Consider the following 13,888-nt stretch of genomic DNA (forward strand, 5'->3'; position numbering starts at 1 on the left):
TATCGAGACCAGCCTGGCTAACATGATGAAACTCTGTCTCTCTTAAAAATACAAAAAATTAGCCGGGTGTGGTGGCGGTTGCCCGTGGTCCCAGCTACTCGACAGGCTGAGGCAGGAGAATAGTGTGAACCTGGGAGGCAGAGCTTGCAGTGAGCCGAGATTGCGCCACTGCACTCCAGCCTGGGTGACAGAGTAAGACTCCGCCTCAAAAAAAAAAAAAAAAAAAAAAAAAAAAGAAATCCTTTTTAAAGAGTTGATCAAAAATTCATCCTAAATTTTTCCTATACCTTCTTTAACAAGTTCAGCATTGGAGCCACAGCCTGACTGCTACTTCATGAGAATTTGGATTAATGCACTAAACAACGACACATCATTATTGATTGTGTCATTCCCTGGAACAGAGCCAATACACTGTGGGCCCATAATTTATTTATAAAATACTCCTGACACTTTCTCTTATTATTTGTTTTCAAAGGAAGCAAAAAGAACTTTACTGTGAGGATTGTCTAACCAGGCTCTGTAACAATGCCAATTATTCTTTTTTAAAAGTTGTTACAAATTTTTATATATTTAGGGAGTACAAGTGCAGATTTCTTAGGTGCATAGATTGTACAGTGGTGAAGTCTGGGCTTTTAGTGTACTCACTACCCAAATAGCATACATTGTACCCGACAGGCAATTTCTCACCCCTCAGTCCCACCCCTGCCTTTCGTAGTCTCCAGTGTCTATTCTTCTACTCTATGTCCCTGTGTGCCCATTGTTTAGCTCTCACTTGTGAAAGTGAAAACATGTGATATTTGACTTTCTGCTTCTGAGGGTTTTTTCCCATAAAATCCTAAAGTTTTTTTTTACTTTTTAAGTATTTTCAAGTATTTTTATTTTGTATTTTTAAAAATACTTTTCAGCTGGGCACAGTGGCTCACGCCTATAATCCCAGCACTTTGGGAAGCCGAGGTGGGTGGATCCCCTGAGATCAGGAGTTTGAGACCAGCCTGGCCAACATGGTGAAACCCCGTCTCTACTAAAAATACAAAAATTAGCCAGTGTGGTGGCTCACACCTGTGGTCCCAGCTACTTGGGAGGCTGAGGCAGGAGAATAGCCTGAACCCGGAAGGCAGAAGTTGCAGTGAGCCAAGATAGAGCCATTGTACTCCACTCTGGGTGATAGAGCCAGACTCTGTCTCAAAATAAAAAAATAAAATGAAATAAAATAAAACACTTTTAAAGTATTTTAAGAGGCACAGGAGAGTGGGAAATGTCTCAATTCAAATAGTCTTGATTTTTTTATTATTATTATTTTTTAGTCCCCAGGGAAGAAGCAGTCCTTGATGTTTTACAACCAACTAAATCCTTTGAGGAATCTTAGACCTTTTCGTAGCATTATCTTTTCTTTTTAGCAGGAAATCCTCATGGTTTTCTGAGTGTAGTCTCCAGACTGGCAGCATTGATATTCCCTGGGGGCTAGCTGGACATGAAGACTGTCAGGATCCCCCCAAGACATGCAAAATCAGAAACTCTGGGGGTGGACTGAGCAATCTATTTTGACAAGCCCTCCTGGTGATTTGGATGCAAGCTTGGGCTTAGGAACACTGACCTAACCCAAACTTCAGGTGTCAAAACATCTTGGAACACATTCCCAAGGGGACATAAGGGCAAGCAGACAAGAACTGAGGCAGGACCAGGCTTTGGCACAGGATAAGGGATTAGTGAGATGGTAGATTTCATTTTTCCTGAAAGCTGATTAAAACTGGCAAATATCTCTGGAGAAAGATGTCCTGGCATCCTTCAGTGGGTTTTACCTGATGTAAGAGGATAGAAGATGTTAGTGCCCTATAGCCGTATGACAGCTAATCTGAACTCATTCCCAAGTGTGTGGGAACACAGTGAAAAGTATAGTCCTAAAACTGGTCTTTCTTGATTTTTTTATCTTAGTGAGCAATAAAGTGAAAATGTATTTGTTTTTTTTTTCTTTTTTCCAGTGTGCTCACCAACAATTACAACCAAACAACAATTTTTGTTGTAGTACCAAAAAACAACTTTTCTAAATACAAGGAAATCTAAGAGATGACTATTTACAACATATCTAAAACTTTCAGAGAATAGAGAGTAACACAGGTGCTACAGAGTAGGGAAAGATGAATTTTCTGTGTATATGCTTCTAGCAGCCTAGATAGGAGAGTACCAGGCTAACTAGCTTGCAACAAAGGATTTTAAAATTCTGATGCTGAGGATAAAATAGCAGATGAGATATTTGATCATGTATCTTGCTTTGGACCAACCTTAAAGTTTTTTCATGGATTTTAGAAAAACTGTTCACTTTGGCCTCTAGCGTTTTGTTCAAATCACAACCTGTTTCACGTCATAACTTGTACCTGCTAAATGGCTTTGAAATATTTTGAGCAATGACAATGGCCAATGAATTATTTACGAGTGCATTGTATAATTTTCATATATTTGAGTTTTAAAATATGTGGTTTTAATTACTTTCTAGTTTAATTTCATTGTGGTAAGAGAACATAAATGGTAAGATTCCAAAGCTTTTAAATTTATTGAGACTTGTTTTATAGCCCAGCATATGGTCTATCTTGGTGAATATGCCATTTGCACTTGAAAACAATGTGTATTCTACAGTTGTTGGGTGGAGTGTTCTACAAATATGGATGAGGTCTTGGTGGTTGATAGTGTTGTTCAGAAGTTCTGCATCTTTAATGTTTTTGTTTTGTTTTTGTTTGCCTGGTAATTGTATCAGTTACTGAGAAAGGGGTATTAAAATCTCAGATTATGACTGTAAACTGTACATTTCTCTGTTTAATTTGGCCAATTTTGCTTTATATATCTGGAAGCTCTGTTATTAGATGCATACGGATTTATGATTGTTATGTCTTTCTCATGAGTTGTCCAACGAAATGTCCCGCTTTACCTGGTAATAATCTTTGTCTTGTCTACTTTTTAATCCACAGATATCTGATTTTTATAAACAACTTTAACAGTCTTCAGTTTAACTTTCTTTTTTTTTTGAAATGGAGTCTTGCTCTGTCGCCCAGGCTGGAGTGCAGTGACATAAACTCGGCTCACTGCAACCTCTGCTTCCCAGGTTCAAGCAATTCTCCTGCCTCAGCCTCCTGAGTAGCTGGGATTACAGGTGTGCACCACCACGCCAAGCTAATTTTCTATTTTTAGTAGAGAAGGGGTTTTGCCATGTTGGTCAGGCTGGTCTCGAACTCCTGACCTCAGGCGATCCTCCCGCCTCGTCCTCCCAAAGTGCTGGGATTACAGGCGTGAGCCACCGTGCCTGGCCTCTTGTCTACTTTATCTGACATTGGGATGGCCACTCCACCCTTTCAGGCATATTGTTTGCATGACATATCTTTTTCATTCATTTCCATTCAACCTATCTGTGTCATTACATTTAAAGTATGACTCTTCTGCACAGAGCACATTACTAAGTCTTGCATTCTTTTTTTTTTTTTTTTTTTTTTTTTTGAGGCAGAGTCTCACTCTGTTGCCCACGCTGGAGTGCAGTGATGTGATCATGACTAGCTACAGCCTGGACCTTCTGGGCTTAAGTGATCTTTCCACCTCAGTCCTCCAAGTAGCTGGGACTACAGGCGCATCTCACCATGCCTGGCTAATTTGTATATTTTTTGTAGAGACAGGGTCTCCCTAGTTACCCAGGTTGGTCTCAAACTCCTGGACTCAAGCAATCCTGCCTTAGCTTCCCAACGTGCTGAGATTACAGGCGTGATCCACTGCACTGGGCCAAGTCTTGCTTTAAAAAAAAATTATTATGATAATTTCAGCCTTCTAAATGGTATGTTTGGCTCATTATTAATATGGTTGCTTTAAGTCTATAATTTTAGTTTTCTCCTGCTTGTTCCTTCTGGTTGTACTCCTCTGTTCCTCTTTCCCTGCCTTCTTTTTGGATTAATTGAATATTTTTTAGAATTCCATTTTAATTTATCTATTGCCTTTTAGCTACACCTCTTTATGTTATCTTTGTAGTGGTTGCCCTAGGGATTTCACTGTACAATCTTCAATTTTCAGTCTAGTGAGAGTTACTATTGTAACCTGTTGCATAAAATATACCTTGTAATTGTACAGGTCTATTTACCCTCTCCTCAATCATTTATATAATAGTTGTCATATATATTACATCTGTAAACATTATGGACTCCAAAATACAATGTTATAAATTTTTGTTTTAAACAGTTCTATTCATTTTTAATTAAGAAAAATGTGTTTTTCACTGGGGCTTGTTGGGGTGGGGGGAGGGATTGGATCAGGAAAAATAGCTAATAAATGCTGGGCTTAAGACCTAGATGATGGGTTGATCTGTGCAGCAAACCACCATGGCACACACGTTTACCCGTGTTAGAACCTGCACATCCTGCAATGGACCCTGAAACTTAGAAAAACTAAAAATAAATTTAAAAACAAAATAGAAAAAGAAAAATATGTTTATATTTATCCATTTATTTACTGTATCTAGTGTTCCTCTTTCTAAAGATCTGAGTTTCCATCTGGTATCATTTCTTTTTTTACATATACATATAATGATTGTACAAATTAATTATAAAACAAAAACAAAACCCTACTTTTAGAATTTCTAGTAGTGTAAATCTGCTGAAAAATGATCTTGTTTACTTTTATATGAAAATATCTTTATTTTGCTTTAATTTTTAAAGAATATTTTTATTGGACACAGTGTTCTTCTGGGTTTGCAGTTTTTATCTTTCAGCACTTTAAAGATCTTGTTCCACTGTCTTATGGCTCCATTTTTTCCTGATGAGAAGTCAAGCAGCTTTCAAATCATTGTTCTAGAACTACCCCCAGGCTAAAAGCTATCTCTCTATACTATGTATGTATGTACGTATGTATGTATGTATGTATCTTTCTATCTATCTGTCTATCTATCTATCTATCTATCTATCTATCTATCTATCTATCTATCTATCTGTCTATCTATGTCTATGTACCTACGTACTGATTAGGTCCTATAGGATAAAAATCTTGATTAAAACTTAGGAACTGGGAATTTATGTTGATGTGGGAAAGGAATACTTTCTTTAGGTCATAGCTTATCACATCACAAAATTAATATCACACAGTGAATGAGCATCAGTATCACACCATCTGAGCAGGGGGTCAGAGGCACGGCAGCTGTCAGGGCTCTGATTGTTTTGTGGGCTTGTAGCACCTTCAAACCATACTATACCTTTTTATGCTCTAGTTGATTGGAAAAACACAAAATTACAAATCTTGCCATATTCCCTGACAGTTTTTGAATCACCTCCATTAGCAACTTGTTCAAAGCACTTAGAGATAATGGTAATAAACCATTTTAGAAACAGATTATGGGTTTCATTACTTTCCAGAGCTTACTCAATGTCTCAATTATTTACTGTAGTGTAATATCTATATATAAGGATACTAAAATCTATATTAGTATTCTACCAGAGAAACAGAACCAGTAGAATGCAGGATACACACACACACACACACACACACACACACACACACACACAGATTTGCAGATGCACGTACATGTATATAAGTGTCTGTGTCTGTGTATGAGAGAGAGAGAGATTTATTGCAAAGAATTGGTTTATGTGTTGTAGGGGTGACTAGGCAAGTTTAAAGTCCACAGAAAACGCAGGCTAGAAATCTTGGGCAAGAGCTAAGATTGCAGTTCACAGGTGGAATTTCTTCCTGTGAAGACTTGGGAAACCAGAAAAACCTAATTTTTGTTCTTAAAACCTTTCAACTGATTGGATAAGTCCTACCCAGATTATGAGGATAATCTCCTTTACTTAAAGTCACCTTATTGTAGATCTTAACCACATCTACGAAACACCTTAGCCAAGTTGACACACAAAGCAAACCATCACATATTTACATATTTAAGAACATTAAGTACTAAATAGGACTAATCATAGAATAACCAAAAAAAACTGAGTTACAAACCTACTGGAAATGGAGAATGTATAGCCTAGTAGGAAGTAAAATAAGATTTGTTTGTTATGGCAAAAGTCCCAATACTGCTGAAATCCTCCCCTGATAAATTACTCTGCTGCTCCTCCCCACTCTCACTCCCTATGAGGGTCCCAAGAGAACTATACACACAAGAATCAAGAGTAAATAGAAATAATATCACCATGTCCTATATATTGCAATATCTTTTTCGGGGTGTGGGTAAAATCAAGAGGATACTCTGAGCCTACTCCTTCCCTTTACCTCCCCACATCTGTCTATATCTTGGTTGTAGCATATTTAGAGGTATCTTTAGACAGAAAGAGATTAGCAGGCTCCCAGAGAGACCCTGATACTATTTACCTGACAAGCCACATGGAAAAAGAAGAAGAGAAATTGCTGGCCAGAGGGCAGGCCCTGCTATCTGTCCTTACAGCATGGAGGCAGGAAGAGGTTCAATACTGAGATATTCACTTTCTGACACATACAGTGTTTCTACCTCATGAGCAACTATTTCCTCATCCATGGCTTTAAATACAATGGTGAGATCAGCAGCTTCTCTTCCCTGGAAATAAGGATGAGGTATAAGTAAAATGTGGACAGACACACGGCTTAGTATAGACAGAGGGAGTTTTACGATCCCCTCCTCCTATTCGACTTTTAGTAAAAATTTAAACAAACAATATCCTTAGAAAGAAATCAGGGCAGATTACTAAAATGCTTTTTTGTTTTTTAAAAATTCTTATTAATTAATTAATTTATTTCTTATGAAAATTTCAAATTTCTAACGATCTCATAAAAATACTACTAAAATATTTCTTTTAGTGCATAATTAAATTTGGCAAAAGAAATGGATTTTTCACATTTCTCTACATTAGAATCAAATGTATACTCACAGATCGTTTTCATTTAAGGTTAAATTCTAGTGCTCAGTAAAAGGACAATGAGAAGAGGTAGGTAGGAAAAGCTCAGCAATGACAAGATTTCCATTTTTCTCTTTTTAAATTCCGTATATTTTTTTCCCTTTCTCACTACTGCACTTGACTAGTCTTTTAAAAAAAAAATTCTTTTTTCCTTTTTTTTTTTTTTGAGACAGAGCCACTAGCATCCAGGTAGTGAGGGCTTGCCGGCTTGCCAAAAGTAATTCATGGAAGTTAGTTATAGCCAACAGCCCGCTTCCCACGTGAAATGTATGTGCCATTTTGAATATCAGAGTCTGTCTCTTTTTTTTCTTTTTTTGAGACGTGGTCTCTCTCTGTTGCCCAGGCTGGAGTGCAGTGGCGTGATCTCGGCTCATTGCAACCTCCGCCTCCTGGGTTGAAGGGATTCTCCTGCCTCGGCCTCCTGAGGAGCTAGAATTACAGACGTGCACCACCATGCCTGGCTAATTTTTGTATTTTTAGAGATGTGGTTTTGCCATGTTGGCCGGGCTGGTGTTGAACTCCTGACCTCAAGGGATCCACGCACCTCAGCCTCCCAAAGTGTTGGCATTACAGGTGTGAGCCACCGTGCACCACCTCACTTGACTAGTTTTAAAAAAATAAAATAAGTTCCACATTTTGTTGCATACAGATCTTAATTATGGCCAATGAGACTTGGAGACTAGGAATAGTATATTTTAATGCATGAGAACACTGATCCTTATTATGTTGTGTGTGTCTATCTATGTGAGTATCTTTAGTGATTGTCCTTTCAAAAAATTGGTAACTATTGGTCTATTAATTCTGTAGTTTACTTTCAGTTCAGATTAGCTTCCTTTTTAATTCATTTCATCAGGGGTGAGAGTAGATGAACAGCAACAAAGAAAAGAAAACTTATTTTCTCTGACATATCTCTCTAAAGAGCTATTCTTACTTGATGGCAAAATTAATGTCTTTCTATATTTATTAACAACAATAAAATTAATAGTTTATATTTGAGTGACTTTATTTCTAGCAATGATGTTCAACATGGTGTATGCCTTATTTATTTGATCTTCACAAATAATTTTTTTGAGATCAATGTGATTGATTATATTTTCACATATTACAAAGATAAAAAAGTTAACGAACACACCCAAGTTGTACAGATAATAAAAATGGATCCAATGCAATCTTATTTCAGAAGCCATGTTCTTAACCATTATGTGGTTATTCCATTTGATATGGTTTGACTCTGTGTCCCCACTTAAATCTCTCCTTGAATTGTAATAATTTCCACATGTCAAGGGTGGGACCAGGTGGGAGGTGATTGGATCACGGGGGCGGTTTCCCCCTTGCTGTTCTCATGATAATGAGTGAGTCTCACAAGATCTGAGAGTTTTATAAGCATCTGGCATTTCCCCTGCTTGCACTCACTCCATCCTGCCTCCCTGTAAGGAAGGTGCCTGCTTCTCCTTTGCCTTCTGCCACGATTCTAAGTTTCCTGAGGCCTCCTCAGCAACGCTGAACTGTGAGTCAATTAAGCCTCTTCCCTTTGTAAATTACCCAGTTGTGGGTATTTCTTCATAGCATTGTGAGAACAGACTTATACACCATTACATGGGGATAACAAGATTATATTTAAGTGCTGAAAATATTATGAATTCAAGTTTTCTTCAGATCAAAATTATGTTTCCCTAAACCGTCCAGAAAAATCTCTAAAATAGATATTACAACCTCTTTATTCTTATAATAGTTTGCGGGGAACCATGTTTGTTGATGCTCAAAGTCTGAAGTAGCATAATTTTGAGACAAGTCCATCAGGTTGGGAGTCAAAAGATCACAGCTTCTCTGTTGTTCATTCTTATCTCCTCTTGTCTTGAGTTCCTTCTCTTGCAATGTAGAGGTTAGACACGATGACCTCTAGTATTTCTCTGAGTCTTTCTAAGAACTATTCCACAGTTCCATAAATAAGACCTGAGACTTAGAGATGATCCAGAACTGCCTTCTGACCTCTTTGAATCAACACTCTCAAGACACCCTAAAAAACGATTATAAGAGTAAGATTAGACCGGGCATGGTGGCTCATGCCTGTAATCCCAGCACTTTGGGAGGCCAAGGAGGGAGGATTGCTTGAATGCAGGAGTTTGAGACCAGCCTGGGCAACATAGTGAGACTTGTTTCTACAAAAATAAAAAAATTAGCTGGATGTGGGGGTGTGTGCCTGTAGTTCTAGCTACTTAGGAGGCTGAGGCAGGAGGATCACTTGAGTCCAGGAGTTTGAGGTTACAATGAGCTATGATTGTGCTACTGCACTCCAACCTGGGTGAAGAAAGAGACCCTATCTCAAAAAAAAAAAAAGAAAAAGAAAAGAAAAAAAACCAGAGAGATTGAAAGATTTTCTAATTCCACAAATCACAATTTTTTAACAATCAATGAAATTCAAAAAAGCCACTGATATTTCCCCCCTTGTATTAAAAAAAAGTTATTTTCTATATACAATGGCCAACAAAGTTGGAAGCAAACAAATTAACTCCCCAGAATCTGTTATGATTCGTGCATTATGTTAGATATAGGGAAAATATTCTAGTTCTTAAAATCATTCTGAAAGTAAAGAATGATTCTAACAGTGAAAGATTTGTAACTGAAGCAATACAGTAGATGCCTTTGAAAATTGGACTGCAAAATATGCTAAAAATGTGTGCACTCAGGAAAAAAACAAATAGCACCCAGCTAGTGTCGGCTTCCCAAAAGTAACTCATGAAAGTTAGTTATAGCCAACAGCCTGCCTCCCAGATGAAATGTATGTGCCATTTTGAATATCAGAGTCTCTTAATTGAATCTCATTTTTGTCCTGAGGGCTGTTCTTCCTTCTGACATGTTCTCACAATGGAAAAATGAAGAAGAAAGGGGAAAATGCGGTGTGAAGAGTAAGAGAGATACAAAAAGGAATTGTATGTCGATTGGTGCTGACATAATGAAGTGCCTGCTCCAATGGCCCCTTTCTCCTGTTCGCAACTCAGCAGTTAGCCTAAGAACACTGCATAATACTGTTTGAGGGGAAAAGATTTAAAAAAGCAAAGGCCCGTGTTCTAAGAAATATGAAGTAGATAACTCAAATTATATTTTTGTTTTTAAAAACTCAGGTAATAGGCGGGGCGCAGTGGTTCACCTGTAATTCCACACTTTGGGAGGCTGAGGCAAGTGGATCACTTGAGCCCAGGAATTCAAGACCAGCCTGGGCAACATAGTGAGACCCTGTCTGTATAAAAAATAAAAAAAATAACCAGGACCTGGTGTGGTGGCTCATGCCTGTAATCCCAGCACTTTGGGAGGCCCAGGCGGGCAGATCACTTGAGGTCGGGAGTTTGAGACCAGCCTGGCCAATATGGTGAAACCCCATCTCTACCAAAAATATAAAAAATTGGCTGGGTGTGGTGGCTTGTATTTGTAATCCCAGCTGCTCTGGAGGCTGAGGCAGGAGACTGCAGTGAGCCGAGATTGTGCCACTGCACTCCAGCCTGGGTGACAGAGTGAGACTCCGTCTCAAAAAAAAAAAAAAAAAAATAACCGGGCAGGGTGGTATATACCTGTAGTCACAGATACTTGGGAGGCTGGGGTGGAAGGATCGCTTGAGCCTGGGAGTTCAATGCTGCAGTAAGCTGTGATTGTACCATTGCACTCCAGCCTGGGCAACAAAGCAAGATGCTGTCTCAAAACAAAACAAAACAAAACAAAACAAAAAACTCAGGTAATAAATTTGAATTGTTCAATAATCAATTAAGGATTATGGTCTAGTAGTGTTTCTTTTGGATGCATTCTTCTTTTCTTCCCCTAAACACTGAAAACAAAATTAAAAAATGAAAAACAGTGTTGAAGATCTCAGTTTTGCAACATGACTGGCATGGTTAGAGGTGGTGCTAGTTCCTAGGATTGCAATACCCAAAATGAACTCAATTTAACTTTGTGCCTTGTCTTTTTTAAAATTTGAACTCCCACAGCCCATCTTTCAGCAGGATTGTAGCAGAAAGTGCTGGAGGACACACACAGCAGAACAGCCCTCCATTTACTGCCTCAGAACATAAATGAGGCTGGAACGAGAGAGCAAGCACTGAATTTGGCCTAGAGAATGAAGGGGGATGGAATAATATTTTTATTCTACATGGAGGCAGAAGTAAGCAGTAGGCAATCTGGGCTCTGAACCAAATAGGTGAGAGGATAGTCAGAGGAAATTTCCAAGATCAATATTTAATTAAGTAAAATAAAAATATTGCAGTGGAGAAACATTTTTTATATCAATTTGGTCTGATGGTTCTAGACTTATCTCAAATAATAAAGGTTCAGGGTGAGTTAATTCTACTCAAATTTATAGCAAACCCAAATTAGATTCAGCAGGGATGAGCAGTTAACATTTCCTGATAAGAGTCACTAACTGAGTTTAGGTACTGGTGTTTCCTTGAATCGTCCTCTAAATTGTCTATTTTAAGACTAATTTGTTAGTGATTTTGTTATAGTGAATACGCCTTCTAATCTGTATCTTAGCCACATGTAGGAGAATCCTAGCTTCTTTTTCTTTTGAGATGGAGTCTCACTCTGTCGTCCAGGTTGGAGTGCAGTGGCACAATCTAGGCTCACTGTAGCCCCTGCCTCCTGTGTTCAAGCGATTCTCCTGCCTCAGCCTCCCAAATAGCTGGGATTACAGGTGCCCACCACCACACCCGGCTACTTTTTGTATTTTCAGTAGAAACAGGGTTTCACCATGCTGACCAGACTGGTCTCAAACTCCTGACCTCAAGTGATCCGCCCGCCTGGGCCTCCCAAAGTGCTGGGATTACAGGCGTGAGCCACCCCACACCAGCTTCCGACTGTTTATTATAAGACAGCTTAGGCAACACAATTCACCTGAGACTTCGACTACCTTTCAGTTTGGTCAGTAAATGCAGGCAGTGACTCGAACAGCATTAGTCTCACAAACACCTAAAAGCAACGCCACAGGCTTAACGTGCAAATCCCACAAAAGAGATGACTGATAGCTGATTACAGATCACTGCATTTGTTTCCTATTGGCATTGAAACAAATTACCACAAATGTAGTGGCTTAAAACCACACAAATGTATTATTTTACAATAGGCAGAGCTGCTGCATTCCTTCTGGATGCTCTAGGGAGGAATCCAGGTCCTTTCCTTTTCTAGCTTCTACAGGCTGTCCACATTGCTTGGCCAGTGGACCCTTCCTCCAGCCTCAAAGCCAGCAGTATAGCTTCTACCTCTCTGGTCACAGGGCCTACTCCGCTTCTTAAAGGACTGTTGTGATTCTATGGGGCCCACCTGGATAATGCAGGCTACTCTCCCCATCTCAAAATCCTTTCTTGATCACATCTGTAAATTATACTTTGCCATGTAAAGTAACATATTCACAAGTTCCAGAGATTAGGAAAAGGACATCTTTGGGGGCTATTATTCAGCCTACAATGACTGTCAAAATGTGAATCAGAATATAAAGAAGTTTTGTTATAATGCTCATTCACAGTATTGAATAAGGTAAAAGAAATTATAATCCCCAGATACTTTAATTAAGCCTTGATTAAATTAAGCGGGAAAAAAAGGTACTAGACAAAGATTTCTAAAAGCAAACCTGTAAGGAAAAATGAAAAGGTGTTGAAATAATAGACTGAGAATGAAAGGTACTAGGTTAGTCATTACTATGTGCTTAGAGAGGTAAGGGAGAAAGAGAATGAATAAAGATATTTAGCCTTTATTTGCCATAAAAAATAAGTTAAATCTACATGTAGTCTGTCCCTTATCATCCTAAAACAGAATATCTTAGTCTGTTTACTAAAAGGGGAAGGGAAATTTCCCTTAATATGTCAATTTTGGGGTTTTTTTTACATTTATATTTAAAATTTATTTTTATTAGTTATGCTGTAAGGACTATTGACCTTAGAACCCTTTCGTCTTATGAAAACAATGTTTGTGAAAATATTTGTTTTAGAGAATTGTTTGTTCACTTAAAGTTGCGAACAATGTTTGTTTAGGAGGTTGAATTTACTCACCAGCCTGGTGATCATTACTGACTATGATTTCATTGATACTGTTGTAATCAATTCAGCCAGTTAAAAAAATCAAAGTTCAGTCATGTAAGTTAAGAAGGCTATGTACTCATAGCCTTTTTACTTGTAAAACTTTATTTGCAAATAAATACTTATTGATTTTTTAAATTGTTATTTTTAAAACACGACAAAAAAATCTTCCCATTCTCTGTAGCACAATATGTTTATGTGTCTTCTGATCCTTCTGACTCTTCTCAATAGAGTGCATTTGTACCTTGCATGTGGATGTCCAATTCTCCCAGCATTTCTTTTTTTTATAGGGTTGAAATTTTCATAATTATAATTGAAACAATTTAAACTGTTCTTATGACCCTTCAAAAATATACATTTGAAAAGAAACAAAAATATACATTTGAAATTATATTTTAAGAGTCTAATGGCACTTCACTTCCTTCATTGCCACATGTGATATTGAAATTTCTGTGATAATGCAAATGGTTTCAAATCCATACAAACTTTGTAAACGTTAAGTATTTCAGAGTAATATGGAAGCTTTTATTTGCAACATGGATTTTAGAGCAATGACACTTCTGCAAACCTAAAGCCCACTAATAGCGCACACCAACTGTCATAAATGGAGTTCTCTCCATAACGGAGAGAAGTCCCAAAGCATAGGATCTTTCAAAAGTCCTACTGCAGTTTTAAGTTTTAGTAATTTCAGAAGAATAAGTCCTTCAAAATTTTAAAAAGTGAAAATGTAATGATTTAAATGTATCACAATCAGGAAGTCTTGAGAAAGTTTCAATAATACTTTTTTATTGTAGTAAAAAATATGTAACATAAACTTTACCATCTTAACCATTTCTAAATGTATAGTTCAGTAGCGTTAAATACATTAACATTGCTGTGCAACCAGTCTCCAGAACTTTTTCATCTTACAAAACTGAAACTCTATATCCATTGCAGTGG

Source organism: Homo sapiens, chromosome 7 (genome assembly GCF_000001405.40).
Source record: "Homo sapiens chromosome 7, GRCh38.p14 Primary Assembly".
In the NCBI taxonomy this organism is placed as follows: domain Eukaryota; kingdom Metazoa; phylum Chordata; class Mammalia; order Primates; family Hominidae; genus Homo; species Homo sapiens.